General features: G+C 56.1%; 3 pseudogenes across 1 annotated transcript; all 3 read right to left on the bottom strand.

Annotated features, from left to right (window-relative positions):
- DNM1P48 (dynamin 1 pseudogene 48) lies at window positions 144-843 on the bottom strand (annotated as a pseudogene).
- CSPG4P1Y (CSPG4 pseudogene 1 Y-linked) lies at window positions 666-4,463 on the bottom strand (annotated as a pseudogene). The gene is made up of 2 exons (NR_001554.2): window positions 3,741-4,463; window positions 666-737 (listed from the first exon to the last, which is right to left on the bottom strand). The product of NR_001554.2 is annotated as a CSPG4 pseudogene 1 Y-linked (transcript).
- Window positions 3,740-9,107, bottom strand: CSPG4P4Y (CSPG4 pseudogene 4 Y-linked; annotated as a pseudogene).

Raw genomic sequence — 13,262 nt, 5'->3', positions numbered from 1 at the left:
GGCCACGCCCATCCGGCAGCCTCTTTGGTCGCATTCAGCCCCTACTCACCTGGAGACCCCGGGTGGGGCATGAGTGCACCTGGTGGGGTAGGGGCCGAAGGGATCAGGGGAAGCCTCTAGCCTGGAGGGTACAGGGCACGCTTCCCCAAGGGTGGACCTGGCAAGAGGAAGCCCAAGAGCTGGGCCCGCCACCCAGGCCGGGCTAGGGACATGGCAGGGTCTGGGCATCCTGGGGCTGGACTTGGGTGACCTGCAAGGCACAGGGAGGGGAGAGATGGGCGGCTCTGCCCCCCTGAGGCCCCGCCCCAGCCCCGGCCACCCCCAGAGACAGTCGCCGGAGCTTAAGCCCCGCCCCCAGTGGTGAGAACATCCCAGCTCCACCCCTTACTCCAGGTGGGAACCACCCCATGAGGGAGCGTGCCACTAAGCCCTGGGCACTCCTCTGTGTGGCCCGGATGGGGGACTTTGGGGCTATGGGGGCCAGTCCCTGGTACCTGTGTTCCTCAGGGACACTCTGCACCTGCAGCCAGGTGTCATCCACAGGCGGGGGCATGGGCATGCTGACGGTGGTCCTGTTGATGTCACCTGTTGATGTCATTTGCCTCCTTCAGCGCGTGGTGCATGCACAGCATCTTGTCGCGCTGCTGTGCCTGCTTTGCCAACTCCTCCATCAGTGTGTTCTGGTCCCCACATGAGTACAGATTGGCCAGCGGCTCCGAGATGATGAACTCCGTGGTCTGAGAGTGGACAAACAGGGAAGAAGGTTGGGACCTGCTGCCTGTGCCACCCTGGCTGCCTTGCTGGGCCCTGCTGGGACTGTGTGCTGGACTTGGAGCCCCTTGGAGTATGGCTTTTTACACGGGCTTCTATACCGCTTCAACTGGAAGATCCCCCTCCCCACCGCCTTTTCTCACTCAGATGGGGACACTGAGGTCGAGAGGAAAAGACACCTGTCCAATGTCACAGATCTGGGAGGGGACTTAGGACCTATCATGCCAAGAAGACACCTGTCTACTCAGTTTTCTTTTTGGCAGGGCAGGGGGCAGTGATAGGGTCTCGCTCTGTCACCAGGATGGAGTACAGTGATCACTGCTCACTGCAGCCTCCACCTCCTGGGCTCAAAGCAATCCTCCAACATCAGCCTCTCACGTAGCTAGGACTACAGGCACGTGCCACCACCAAGCCCAGCTATTTGTAAAATTTTTGTGTGGAGACAAGGTCTCACTATGTTGCCCAGGCTGGTCTCGAACTCCTGGGCTCAAGTGATCCTCCCGTCTCGGCCTCCAGGAGTGGGAGTGAGACAAAACACAGGGTCCTGAGCTCTGGGGAGCAAGCAGTGTCCTCTGGTGACAGAAATCCTGGACTTGCCAGCAGAAGTTTTGCCTCTTACTCGCCATGTGCTCTGAATACAGTTACCTGCCCTCCAGGAGCTTCAGTTTTCTTACCTGAAAAAGGACACCTGACCCCTTCCCAGCCCAGTTCAGTGTTGTGGGACAGGGCTGCTGTCAAGACAATACCCAGTCCTGCCCTCCTCCTCCCTGAGTGGGCCAGGTAGCCCATGTAGCCTCTTCCCGGCTTTCCTGGGTGGCACTGCCAGCCTGGACCCCTGGTGACCATTCAATCTAGTCCATCTTGCTGGGGCATGGGGAAGCTCTGAGTAACGTGGGACTATAGAGTGCAAGAGGGTTGCTGATGGTCTGGTCCCATGCCCTCCTCATTCCTGGGCATTCTTGACAAAGGATCCCAGCAACTGAGGGTATGCAGCAGCTGTAGACACCAGCCTGATGAATATCTCATTGTGGGGAGGGTGCCATAGCAGGAGTGGAGCTCTGGGGAAATAAAGAACCCAGGTCTGGGAGGTACTGATGTGAGAGGCCCAAGAAACCTTGGCTTTGCACTTGCTGAGTACCATCTGCACCTCTCAGGAGGGAGACTGCCAGGCTCAGGAGGTCCTTGCCCAAGCAAGGGAGCTTGAAAAGGGGGCTAGGTGTGGGCTCTGCCATTTTCAAGGGCTGGCAGTGGGACCCCTCTGGAGGTACTTGAGGCAGTGCTGCGTGCCGTGGCTCCTGAATGACAGAGTCAGCTCTGCGCCCCACAAGACCACTCCCTACCCAGAACTCACTGTGATCATGTGCTGGGTCCAGATGCTCACGCAGTCTCCTGGTGGGAGCATCAGGTGTGCTGCCTGCCCAGGACGGCCCACAAAGAGTCTGCCCTGCTCTGCCCTGCTATGGAACAACTCCCGTTCTGCCTTTGGGGAGAGGTGTTCATTTAAACAATGACTGGGCTGGTCCCCATGGCACAATTACCACACAGAGTCTGCCACTACCCATGGCTGAGAGCTCTAGTTCTTCCCTGAAGCCACCAGGACAGATGAACAGTGGCTTCCCCCTTTTGGCTGACTCAGCTGCCTTTCATCAGCTCATCTGCTCCTAGGATCCACTCTGCCTCTGGCTGGCACCTGATCTGAGCCCCAGGCTCACACCTCTGCCCACAGGCCCCAGCAGCTGCTTCACCTCTGACTCCATCCCCCACCAAGCACTGCCCCTCACCAGCTACTGGGGTGCCACTAGTGCCCCTACATGGTGCTCCCTCTCTAGACCCTTGGGTCCAGCTGTAGCTTCCTTCTGGAAGCCACACCCCAAGACCCCAGCCCTGCTCTAGGGACCTGTATCCCCAACTTCCTGCATCCTTCTCCCTCCTTCTGGGAACATGAACTTGCCCCACCAGCCTGATGACTCCTGGAGGGCAGGACACCAGGGCCCTGGACCATGGCAGGCCCGGGAGTGTCTGCTGACAGTGATGCTGGAGCTGGTGCCCATGTCCACATGATGTCCATAGCACAGTGGCCACCTGAGGCTGGGCGCATCTGAGTGGTGACTGCAGAGTGGGGCCCTTACCTCTCCCTGAGTGAAGTTCACCAGGTCCTCCCCTGTGAACTGCCCCCAAACTCACATTCCTGTTCTGTGCCTTTGCCAGGAATGTTCCTTTTGCCTGGAATACCACTCCCCATTCCCTGCTCCAGATGGCCTGTGCTCTTCAGAGCCCAGCCCAAACACTGCCTCCTCCCATGAGACCTTCCTGATGCCAGATCTGCTGGCTCACCGTGGGCCCCACGCTCAGATGCAGACCAGAAGGGTCTCCGAAATGAGCAGTGTGGGAGAGTAAGGCTGAGAGTGGGCAAGGACTGGCCTGAGGTCACAGGGCATGTCAGTGAGATCTCTGGAAGGCCTGTGGCTGGTCTGTGGGGTTCTGTGGGGTTCCTGGATGAGCAGAAGCCCTTGACAGACCCTCCTAGTCCTGGTCTGGGCTCTGAGAAAAAAGCAGGGTACACAGGGGTCTGAGGGGCAGTGGCCTGTCTCCACGGCCAGCAATCCCAAAAGTTCAGGACCCGTGATGCCTTCCCAGGGAACTGACTGCAATGCAGATTCTCGGGCTCCACTTCAGAGATTCTGTAGGGCTGGGTGGGGTCCAGGAATCTGCATGCTCAGCCATGCCATGGACATGAGTGGGCACCACCTCTAGAGGCACACACAACTCCCCGGAGGATGGGTGTACAGCAAGCTCCCCAGAAACTCTTGGGAACACAACATATATGGGAGCACATCTGAGGCACGTGCACACACGCAACCTGGGACCACCACAGGCACAGCCCAAGTCACATGTGTTCCCGGCAGGGAGGCTGGGAGGAAGGCCCTCTACCTGGTCCACACCCCCACTCACCACCCCCAGCTCCTCACCTCCAGCTGGTCCCTTCTGATCTCAGCTGCCTCTCCCAGGAAGATGTAGATCTTCTTGTGCCAGGCCAGCTTCAGTGGGGCTAGTGGGCCCTCTAGGGCAATGGTCACTTGTAGAGTGCACCGTGTGCACTGTCTGTGTGCACTGGCCCCACATCCATTGAGAAGGCCCCACATCCATTGAGAAGGCCCCACATCCATTGAGAAGGCCAGGGTGTTGCGGGAGCTGAGGCTGCCATTGTGGCCAAAGAGAACGGCCCCAACCAGCAGGTCCTTCTGGGCGAAGGCTGTGCTGGCTGAGTGGCCTGGAGCAACTGTCCCCAGCAAGGGCTGTCTGTGATGTGGTAGTGGACCTCATCCCCACTGCGGATGTCGAGGTTGGTGCCCAGGTGGAGCTCGGCCATATTGATGGTACCCTGGTCTCCTTGAGGGACCTTGAGGCCGGAGCCATTGGCCACATAGAGGTAAGGCTCCAAGGCCTGCACCTCCAGCACCAAGATGGCCTGGTGCTGCCTGTCGGACACATGCAGCAGGATCCAGCCATGGTCAGCCTGAGTGCGTGAACAGGACTCGCCTCTTCCTGAGGCCCCTCCTGGATGAAGCAGAAGATGGGCTGCATGGGCTCATCCGTGGCCATGATACTGCCAGACAGGAGGTCCTTGTGGGTCAGCACCAGCTGGGCATCCACAAAGCCTGAATCAGCATTGCTGAAGGCCATGTTGTGTGGAGTCAGCAGCTGCCACCTACCCCAGGCCACATGGAAGACGCAGCTGATGCTCTGCACAGGGGCGTGGTCATTCACAGTCTGGATGGCCACTCAGAAGACACCCCGTACCTCCTCCCAGGCCACATCACCACTGCTCTGGTCCTGGTGGCAGCAGCAAATGGCATATCATCTTCCGTGATCTTGGAGTCATCATGCTGCTAGACCGGCTGGCCATGCAACAGATCTCCATTGGTGAAGGAAGTCACCATAGTGGTCTTGTCCTGTGCCCCACACCAAGTCAACCTCCCATGGCGGGGCCACTACATGGCCTCATAGAGGTACCTGGCACTGTTGAGGCTCTTGACGAAGAGCTGGTCAGCAGAGAGGACACACCCACCACCCTCGGGCACCAAGAGGACATTGGTGAGGACAGGCATGTCTGGGTCACCGCCAGTATGGATGGAGAAAGTACAGAGTGGGGAGAAATATAGTGGAGCTGTGACATGGAAACAGAAGGTGTCCTCCACTGCCACTGAGGCATGTGCCATGGCCCTATAGGTCACCTCTCCAGCCTGTACATCATCCTGGGTGAAGCCCTGACCATCTGACAGTGTCGTGCCCTGTAGTTGAAGGTTGCCTTTCCTGGGAGCCTGAACCACCTCAGAGTGGAAGGTTGGGGGGCTTGGGCCTGCCTCTTCCAGGGTGGCCTCCAGGTGGGCTGTGGTGAGGGCCTCTGCTGGGTGTTGAGTGTGCAGTGGCCGCAGCTGCAGCATCCACACAGTGGCTCTCTGGATGGTCACTAGGAAGGACAGATTGCTCAGGATTTCCCAGCTCACCTGCACCTGCAGATCCAGGTTCTTCACGGTGTCCTCGGCATAGTGCTGTGGGTTAGTGCTCAGGTACCTCATGTGGCCCTGCTCCACATCCTGCTGGTGGAATGACTGTGTGGCCCACCACTCAGCACCCTCCACCCCACCAGCCCCCTGCTTCTGCACCTCCCTGAACTGCAGGCCTCTGGTGACACAGAACAACACAGTCACATCCTGCCCCACGGTGCTGGTCTCCACCGACAGGTTGGTAGGCAAGATGGGCATGGCAGAGTCCTGGGCCAGATGCAGCCCTGTGCTGCAGTGGATCTGTATGGCCGGCTGGATGGCCACCACCTTCAGCATGGACGGGGGGCTGGCCTGCAGTCCATTGCTGACCCGGAACGTCAAGTCCTATGCAGGGCCACTGCAGTGGACATAGACTAGGCTGTCGGCCTCCAACTCCCAGCAGGAGAACTGGGTCACCGGCTCCCCAGCCTGGTCTCAGTGCTCCACAGGGAGGCCAGAGGAGGTGCCAAGGAGCTGGAAGGTGAGGCCCTCACAGGCAGAGTCCAGGTCATAGGCCTGGAAAACCTCAGGCCCCAGAGGCTTCTGTGTGTGTTCCAGGATCACCATAAGGCTGCCACATGGGAAGATGATACGGGGTGGGTCATTGACAGGGTTGACCTGGATGGGCAGGAGGTCAGTTTGGCCCCTCCGCAGGCATGAAGGCATGGGCACCCAAGCCATCACCAACACCTCCAGCACCAGGGCCATCATGGATGAAGCAGGCCTTGCAGTTCACCATGTCCAGGAGGGTGAACATTTCTCATGCCTGGGCACCCAGGATGTCCAGCTCGAGTTCACTGTAGTGTGCCCCTCAGGTCACGCTGAACAGCACCTGGGATTTATGCAGTTCAGCCTCCATCAGGGCCAGCATGGGCTGCACATGCCACCACTCGGCTGTGCCACCCTCGGTCACCACCACTGGGCTGATAGTCAGCAGCTGGGTGAAATTGGTAAAGACAGGAGGCAGCCCTGGCTCAAGCATGCATGGCTCAGCTAGATCCATGGACAGCCAAGCCCTGGGGGCCAGGGTGGAGAAAGCTTCATAATGGCCATAGGTATTGTCCTCATACTCCTCCACCTCCTCCAGTCTGCAGCCTGCCGCCATGTTGTGTGTCAGCAAGGCTTCCCGAAGCCCCCACCTCTGGCCATTGACACTGAGGTCTTCCATACAGCCAGCCCAGCAGGGAGGCATTGGCGGCCCCTGGTGTCAGGCCTCAGTGGTGTTCCTGGAGGGGATGAGAGGCCTCTGCAACCAGCTCCCCAAGAAGGAGACTGTCACATGGCTCCAGGCAGCTGAGGACTCCTCGGTTCAAAGTACGTGTGGGGTACTGGTCCATGGAGATTTCTAGCTGGTGAGTGTTGATGTGGATGCTGACCTTGAGGGTCTGCACGTCAGCCACAAGCACACTGTTGAGGAGCAATACAGTACCCTGGCCCTTCTCGACCATGAACCACAGGTGGCCCTCAAATATGTCCACATGGATGAAGTCCCCATGCCAGCCCGCTGCCTGGAAGGTCAAGGGTGCCTGCCAGATCTGTGTGGTGAGTGCCAACTCCAGGGTTCCTTTGTTCTGAGTGCCCCAGGCAGGGAAGGCAGCCAGAGAGTGGGGCCCAGAGAAGCCCAGGGCCACATCGTCACTGGTGGAAAACTCTTCAGCACAGCCCTCATGCATATCGGGGGTCAGAGGCCGGAGGAGGCTGTGGCCATTGAGAGTGGCTGCATGGAGGCAACCCCTCAGGGGATGGCTGGTTCCCCTCAGGTAGGGCAGGCCAAGGCTCCCAGTGTTCCCAACAAAGAGCCCATAGGGGACCTCTAGGGGGGCTCCCAGGACTACAGAGGAGGCATTCAGAAACCCATTGACTGACAATGTGGGCCAGCCCTCTGAGACAGTCAGAACTGTAGTGTAGGGGATGGAGTCACTCAGCAGCATTTCTGCTGGGATCTGCAGCCTCAGCTCCTCCTGGCCCAGGACAACCCTGACCTGAGGAGAGACAGGGAATGGGAGATGGGGGGCAGCACTTTGAATCCATCATTTCCCTTATAAAAGCACAGTGGGTTCCCCACAGTTGGGTCCCCAGAGCAGAAAACCTAGGACAAGGGCCTCTGGTGCCACTCCTCTTGCCTTCCTGCCATCTCTTTATTCATCCTCCAAACACTCACCAAAGGAAACTCTGGGCCAGGCCTGGATGGGCTCTGGGGACCCTGATGTGAATCAGATGTGGTCCTTGCCCACAATGAACTGACATATAGCAAGATGCTCTTCTAGAAACCCAACCTGTATTTTTAAATTCTCCTCCTCTTTCCTTGAGAGAGAAGCACCAGAAATATTGTCTTGGAATCTAGATTTCACCCCTGGAATAATGGGTAACTGAGAATCCCTTGATCAGTCCCCCTAAGTTTGGCAAAGTTTCTTGAGGTCACTGAAGGAAGCCAGGCTAACTGTTCAGGGATAGGGAACCCAGGCAGATGCTCTGTGTTCTGAAAAAAAAGCTCCCTGTCCTGTGGGGGAGGAAGATCTCAAGGAGAGATGAAGGACATAGTTCTGTCACCATGACATTGACACAAGAAATGGCTCTGGTGTGGTGCTCCCAGGTGCTAGAATAGGTGATGGCAGAGTACGGGAACTGCAGAACCAGAACACTAAGAACCATGATCTTGGAATCCTGGTATGGTGCATCTCTGTAGGGATGTGGCACCACTGTACCCACAGAGCTCAACAGCCATCAGTGCCAGACTGCACCACATAGGTGTTCAACAGTGACACTTGTGGCAGTGAGCAGCAATGACAGCAGCAGACTGACCAAGCCCTAGTCCTCTTCCCACTGGGGTGCGGAAGGAGATGGCTGCCCCAAATTTGTTAATTTTTTTTTTCTTTCTAAAATAGATATGGAGTCTCATTGTGTGGCTCAGGCCAGTCTTGAACTCCTAGGCTCAAGTGATCTTCCCACCTTGGTCTCCCAAAGTGGTGGGATTATAGGCATGAGCCACTGCACCCAGCTTGCCCCAAATTTGCACTAAGACCCTGGGTTCTTAAACTCTTTATGGTATGGGGGAAGACTCAAGAAGGAGCCACAAGACTCCTTGATAATAAAGCTTGTGGTGTCTTGAAGGATGAAATGGAAAAATGAAGCTGAGGCAGTACTGGTGCTGTTACTGTCATGGACAGACAGTGGTGCTGCAGAGAAATTGGTGCAGTGCCACCGGGAAGCACAGGGGTCATGGGGGCCCAGGAGGGGGCCTTGCCCAGGAGGAGGGGATGCCCACACTGAAACTTCAAGGAGAGGCTAGAGTTAGGCAGGTGCAGGGAATGGGTGGGGCACACACCTGGCAGGAGGAGTGTGATGACCAAAGGACTGGCAGCAAGTGACCATAAGATGGCCAGGAACTGAAAGCAGTTCAGTGCAGTCAGAGCACAAAGGCCAGTGAGGGCTTGTGGTGGGAAACATGGTTGGAGGGAGCTGGTGAGCAGAGCCAGTTCATGAAGGATTTACCATTTCTGAGCTGCTGCTGCCCATCCCACAGTAGAGAACTTGAAACCCCAAGAAAGGTGACTTACACAAGGTCACACAGCCAGCTGGGGTTCACTCAAAGCTGGACAAGGAATCTCACCCTCACTCACCTGCAGGTGTCCAGAGTAGAGCTGCAGCAGGAGGTGGTCAGCTGGGCCTGCTGCCAGGAGAAGGAGGGCTTCGGGTTGGGACGTGGAGAACTGCAGTTGCAGGTCTATGTCAGTCAGAGCCATGGCCACAGTCACCTCCAGGTGGTTCTCACCAAAGAAGGAAGCTGTGTGAGAGAGGGAGCTGTGGTCAAGGCTCAGATTCTTGCCTGGAGGAGGCGAGGTGCTGCAGGGAGGGATGGGTGGGTTGCAGAAAGGGGTCCGTGCTGGTGCACCCTCATGGTTCTGCTATATGTTGCTGTCTCTGAGCACTGCCCAGATCCCCACATTTCCTTGGTCCTGGCACCAGAAGGCACAGCCTCACCTTGTGTCCAGCCCAGACCTTGACTTTGCAGGAGGTCAGACCCAGAAATTCCCAGCAACTCAGGTCTCCTTCTTGGAGGTTCCTGGAGCCAGAGGCCTCTGCCAGTTCTGACTTGCATCCCCTGGGCCCCAGAGGAGTCTCCCTCCCAGGTCTGGCTCCCCGACCTGGCTGAAAGGGAAACATCACTGGCCTGATCACCTGGCTTGGTGGTCACAGCCCTGAGGAATGGAGTTTCTGGAGAATCACCCCCAGGCCAGATTGATCCCTGCTCAGATTCCTTCTCCTAAGTGCCCTTGTGCTTGGGCTCCTGTGCAGCAACTGCTGTGCCATGCCTCGCCTCCATGCATTGGCTGGGGCCATGGCTGGTATCTGGGGGTGATGTCAGTGTGGCCCACCTATCCCCACTTCTCCCTCAGGCCATTCTTCCAGCTGCCATTGAGGGTGGGGGCTGGAGCTTATTGGCCTGAGTTTGCCAAGGAGTAAAGGCTCTGAGGCCAGATGGGGACCATATGCAGTGTCAAACCAAAGTGGGCCCACACTTCCTCCATTACCCCTGCTGTTGCTTCCTGCTGGAGAGCTATTCACAGTCCCCACTGAGCAGTCAGATCCGGCCCCATTGTTTCCACCTTGGCCAAGGAACCAGGGATGAGAACAGCTGAGCTCCCAACTTCCCCAGGCCACCACTCAGTCTGAGGCTGAATACAGGGCCTAGGAGGGGCTGAGGGTCTGCTGGGCAGGCCAAAGATGGCCTCTCCAGGCAGAAGGCCATGTCTGGGCTTGCCTGGGGTTAGTGGTTCTTGTGCAAGGCCCGTTCTGTCCCACACTGGGACTCCTCCTCTTTTGAGTTGCTGCTTCCTCCAGGCAGTTTCCCCAAATTAGCCTCCCTGACTTCCAACCCACTGCCATAATTTCTGGTCTATGCCTTTTGTGGTGACAAGAGCCAGATATAACTTTGACTTTGCCTGCAGTTGTCCAGGGCTGGGGGGCAGACAAACACAGGTTAAAAACCGTGATTCATCCCTGTTGGGTTTCCCTCAAACCCCAAGAACAAGCACAGGCTGATGGCCTTGATGGGGTGATCCAGCACCGGCCTCACATGCACTGGTCCCTAGCCAGCCTGAGCCAGCTGCCATCTGCTCGAGGAAGTAGCTTCAGCCATTGGAGGAGTTGGAGGTCTCTATGCCCTAAGGGCAGCCAGCCCCACCTGGAGGGATATCAAGGAAAGATCCCGTAAGAGCCCCTCGGGTTGAGTTAAATCCCCTCTAGTTATCCCCTCCTCCTGCCAGCACTGCTGGCAACACCAGCACCTTGGCTGGGAAGCTAAGGGAATCAAGCAAGCCCCACAGACCATCTGTGTGGGGGTGGCCCAGCAGTCTCAGCAGGCACAGCACAGCTTGGTGCCAGCAAGAGACAGACCAGGGAACTGCAGGTGGTGACCTACTGGGGTGCCTTATCTGCAAAGACATTGATTCCTAAGAGCAAAACACAGCACACTAAAGTGAGGGAGGCCATAGCACAAGGGGTGGGGACACATGGCCCTGCAGGATGGAGCCACCACAGTCACCAGCTGGAACGGCTCACAGCAGTGGCCAGGAGCCAACTGTTGAATTTTCAGGAATTTTGAGAGCCATGTGATACTGCCCACAGTGGGAATATTTATACCAGGAAAAGAGGCAAATACTGAAAATCAGGGTTCCCTCTCCCCAAGAAAGCCCATTGCTAAACATTTACCTACCCAGCACCCACAGGGAAGGGGGCACATCTCCCTGTGCCTACCCACCTGTGTTAGTCAGGGTTCCCTAGAGGGATAGAACTAATAGGAGATATAGACAGATATAGATATAAATATAGATATATAGATATATAAAGGGGAGTTTATCAAGTATTAACTTACACAATCCCAAGGTCCCACAATAGGCTGTCTGCAAGTTTGAGGTGCAAGGAGAGACAATCTGAGTCTCAAAACTGAAGAACGTGGAGTCCGATGCTAGAGGGTAGCAAGCGTCCAGCGTGGGAGAAAGATGAAGGCTGGGAGGCTAGGCCAGTCTTGCCTTTTCATGTTTTTCTGCCTGCTTTATATTCACTAGCAACTGATTAGAAAGATGGTGCCCACCAGTATTAAGGGTGGGTCTGCCTTCCCCAGCCCACTGGCTCAAATGTTAATCTCCTTTTACAACGCCCTCACAGACACACCCAGGAGATCAATACTTTGCAGCCTTCAACCGAATCAAGTTGACACTCAGTATTAACCGTCACACCACCCTTGCACTAAAGGTATACATACACCCACTAAGGCATGGTCAACATCAGGGATCTGGGCCAGACAGGAACTGAAGCAGATGGTTGGCCCTAACCACTGAACCACCTGCCTGTGGCCCCCTCCCAGCAGAAGAGAGTAGAGGCTGTTTGGCCAGAGTGGAATGGTGGCAGGAAGCAGAGGTATTTTCTGGAGTGCTGGGGTCTGAATCAGTCCATTGAGGCTGGGCCCTCCTGCTTCCTGTAGGGCTAAGCGGGAGAAGCTCACAGAGGCTGCCTTGTGCTGCTGGAGCGCATAGCCAGGGAGGCCCCCACCCCAACAGAGGCCTCTGATGCCTTGCTGGCCAGGGCTTTGGAAACTCTGACAGCGCTGCTTCCCTCATTTCCTAATCTCCTTTTTCTGACCCTCTTACACTCTCTGAGGGGCTGCAGTTGCAGGAACCCAGAATCTCTGTCTTGGAGGTGGTGGGGCGGTGGGGGGCAGTTGAAGAGGGGCTTTGAATGGAGAGGGTCTGCACAATAAAGATGTAATAAGCTAGGAGTCAATCCAGAGGACTTCCTGGAGGAGGTGATGGTGGTGTAGAGTCACAGAGAGGGAGGAATAGGCAGTCTCAGAGGACAGCAGCAAGGCCAAGTGAGAGACTGGCAGAGTTATACAGGTCCCCGTTGGGTGGGGTGAAGAGGGTTCATGCTCCCTCACCCCGCAGAGCCTCTGGCTTATCACAGGATAAGAGCCAGCTAAGCTCCAGAGGCTTTCCAGGAAAAGTGTCTCTTGGAAAGAGTGTGACCTTTTCATTGGTCCTGACAGCACCCTAGAAATGGCTTGGTCTTCTCCCTCCCGTGAGCTCCACAGAGAACACAGCCAGCATAGGACACATTCCCTGTCATCCAGAAATGGGTTTGATTCTCAGCCAAGGGACAGCAGGACTGGTAGAGACTGTCAGGCCACACAGCTGCCTACACAGCACCCCCATGCTTGGTGGGGGGTGGGAGGGATGGCGGGGGCTGGCTGTCCACAGGCCGGGCATGACAGGGAGGCTCACTGGAAGTGGTGCACTTTGGAGGGGCAATGTCAGGGGAGAGCTTCCTCTTGTTGGGCCACAAGACTCCACAAGGACAGCACGGTGACTGATTCCCAGTGCTAGAGGCGAGGCAATCGGCCATGTGTAGGTGTATGTGTGTGTGTGTGTGTGTCTATATACACACACATATATGTGTATATATATATGAGGGTGTGTGTATGTGTGTGTATATATAAATTATTTATTTAGATGGAGTCTTGCTCTGTTGCCCAGGCTGGAGTGCAGTGGCACAATCTCGACTCACTGAAACCTCTGCCTCCTGGGTTCAAGCAATTCTCCTGCCTCAGCCTGCCGAGTAGCTGGGACTACAGTCACCTGCCACCACATCGGTCTAATTTTTGTATTTTTAGTAGAGATGAGGTTTCACCATATTGGCCAGGCTGGTCTCAAACGCCTGACCTTGTGATCTGCCTGCCTCAGCCTCCCAAAGTGCTGGGATTACAGGTGTGAGCCACAGCACCCAGCTATTTACAGATATTTATAGAATATGACCTCAACTATTTAAACATATCTGTAAGGGTATAAGTACTTTGATAACAAAGAAGCAATACATACTGATAGAAACTAGCTATCATGTCAACAGTGGTTATATTAGGTAGAGAAATTATGTGAGATTATTTTTTTT

The sequence above is a fragment of the Homo sapiens genome, chromosome Y, assembly GCF_000001405.40.
Source record: "Homo sapiens chromosome Y, GRCh38.p14 Primary Assembly".
Taxonomy (NCBI): Eukaryota; Metazoa; Chordata; class Mammalia; order Primates; family Hominidae; genus Homo; species Homo sapiens.
Note: the sequence above shows the minus strand (reverse complement) of the source record. Positions and strands in the feature narration are given on the sequence as shown.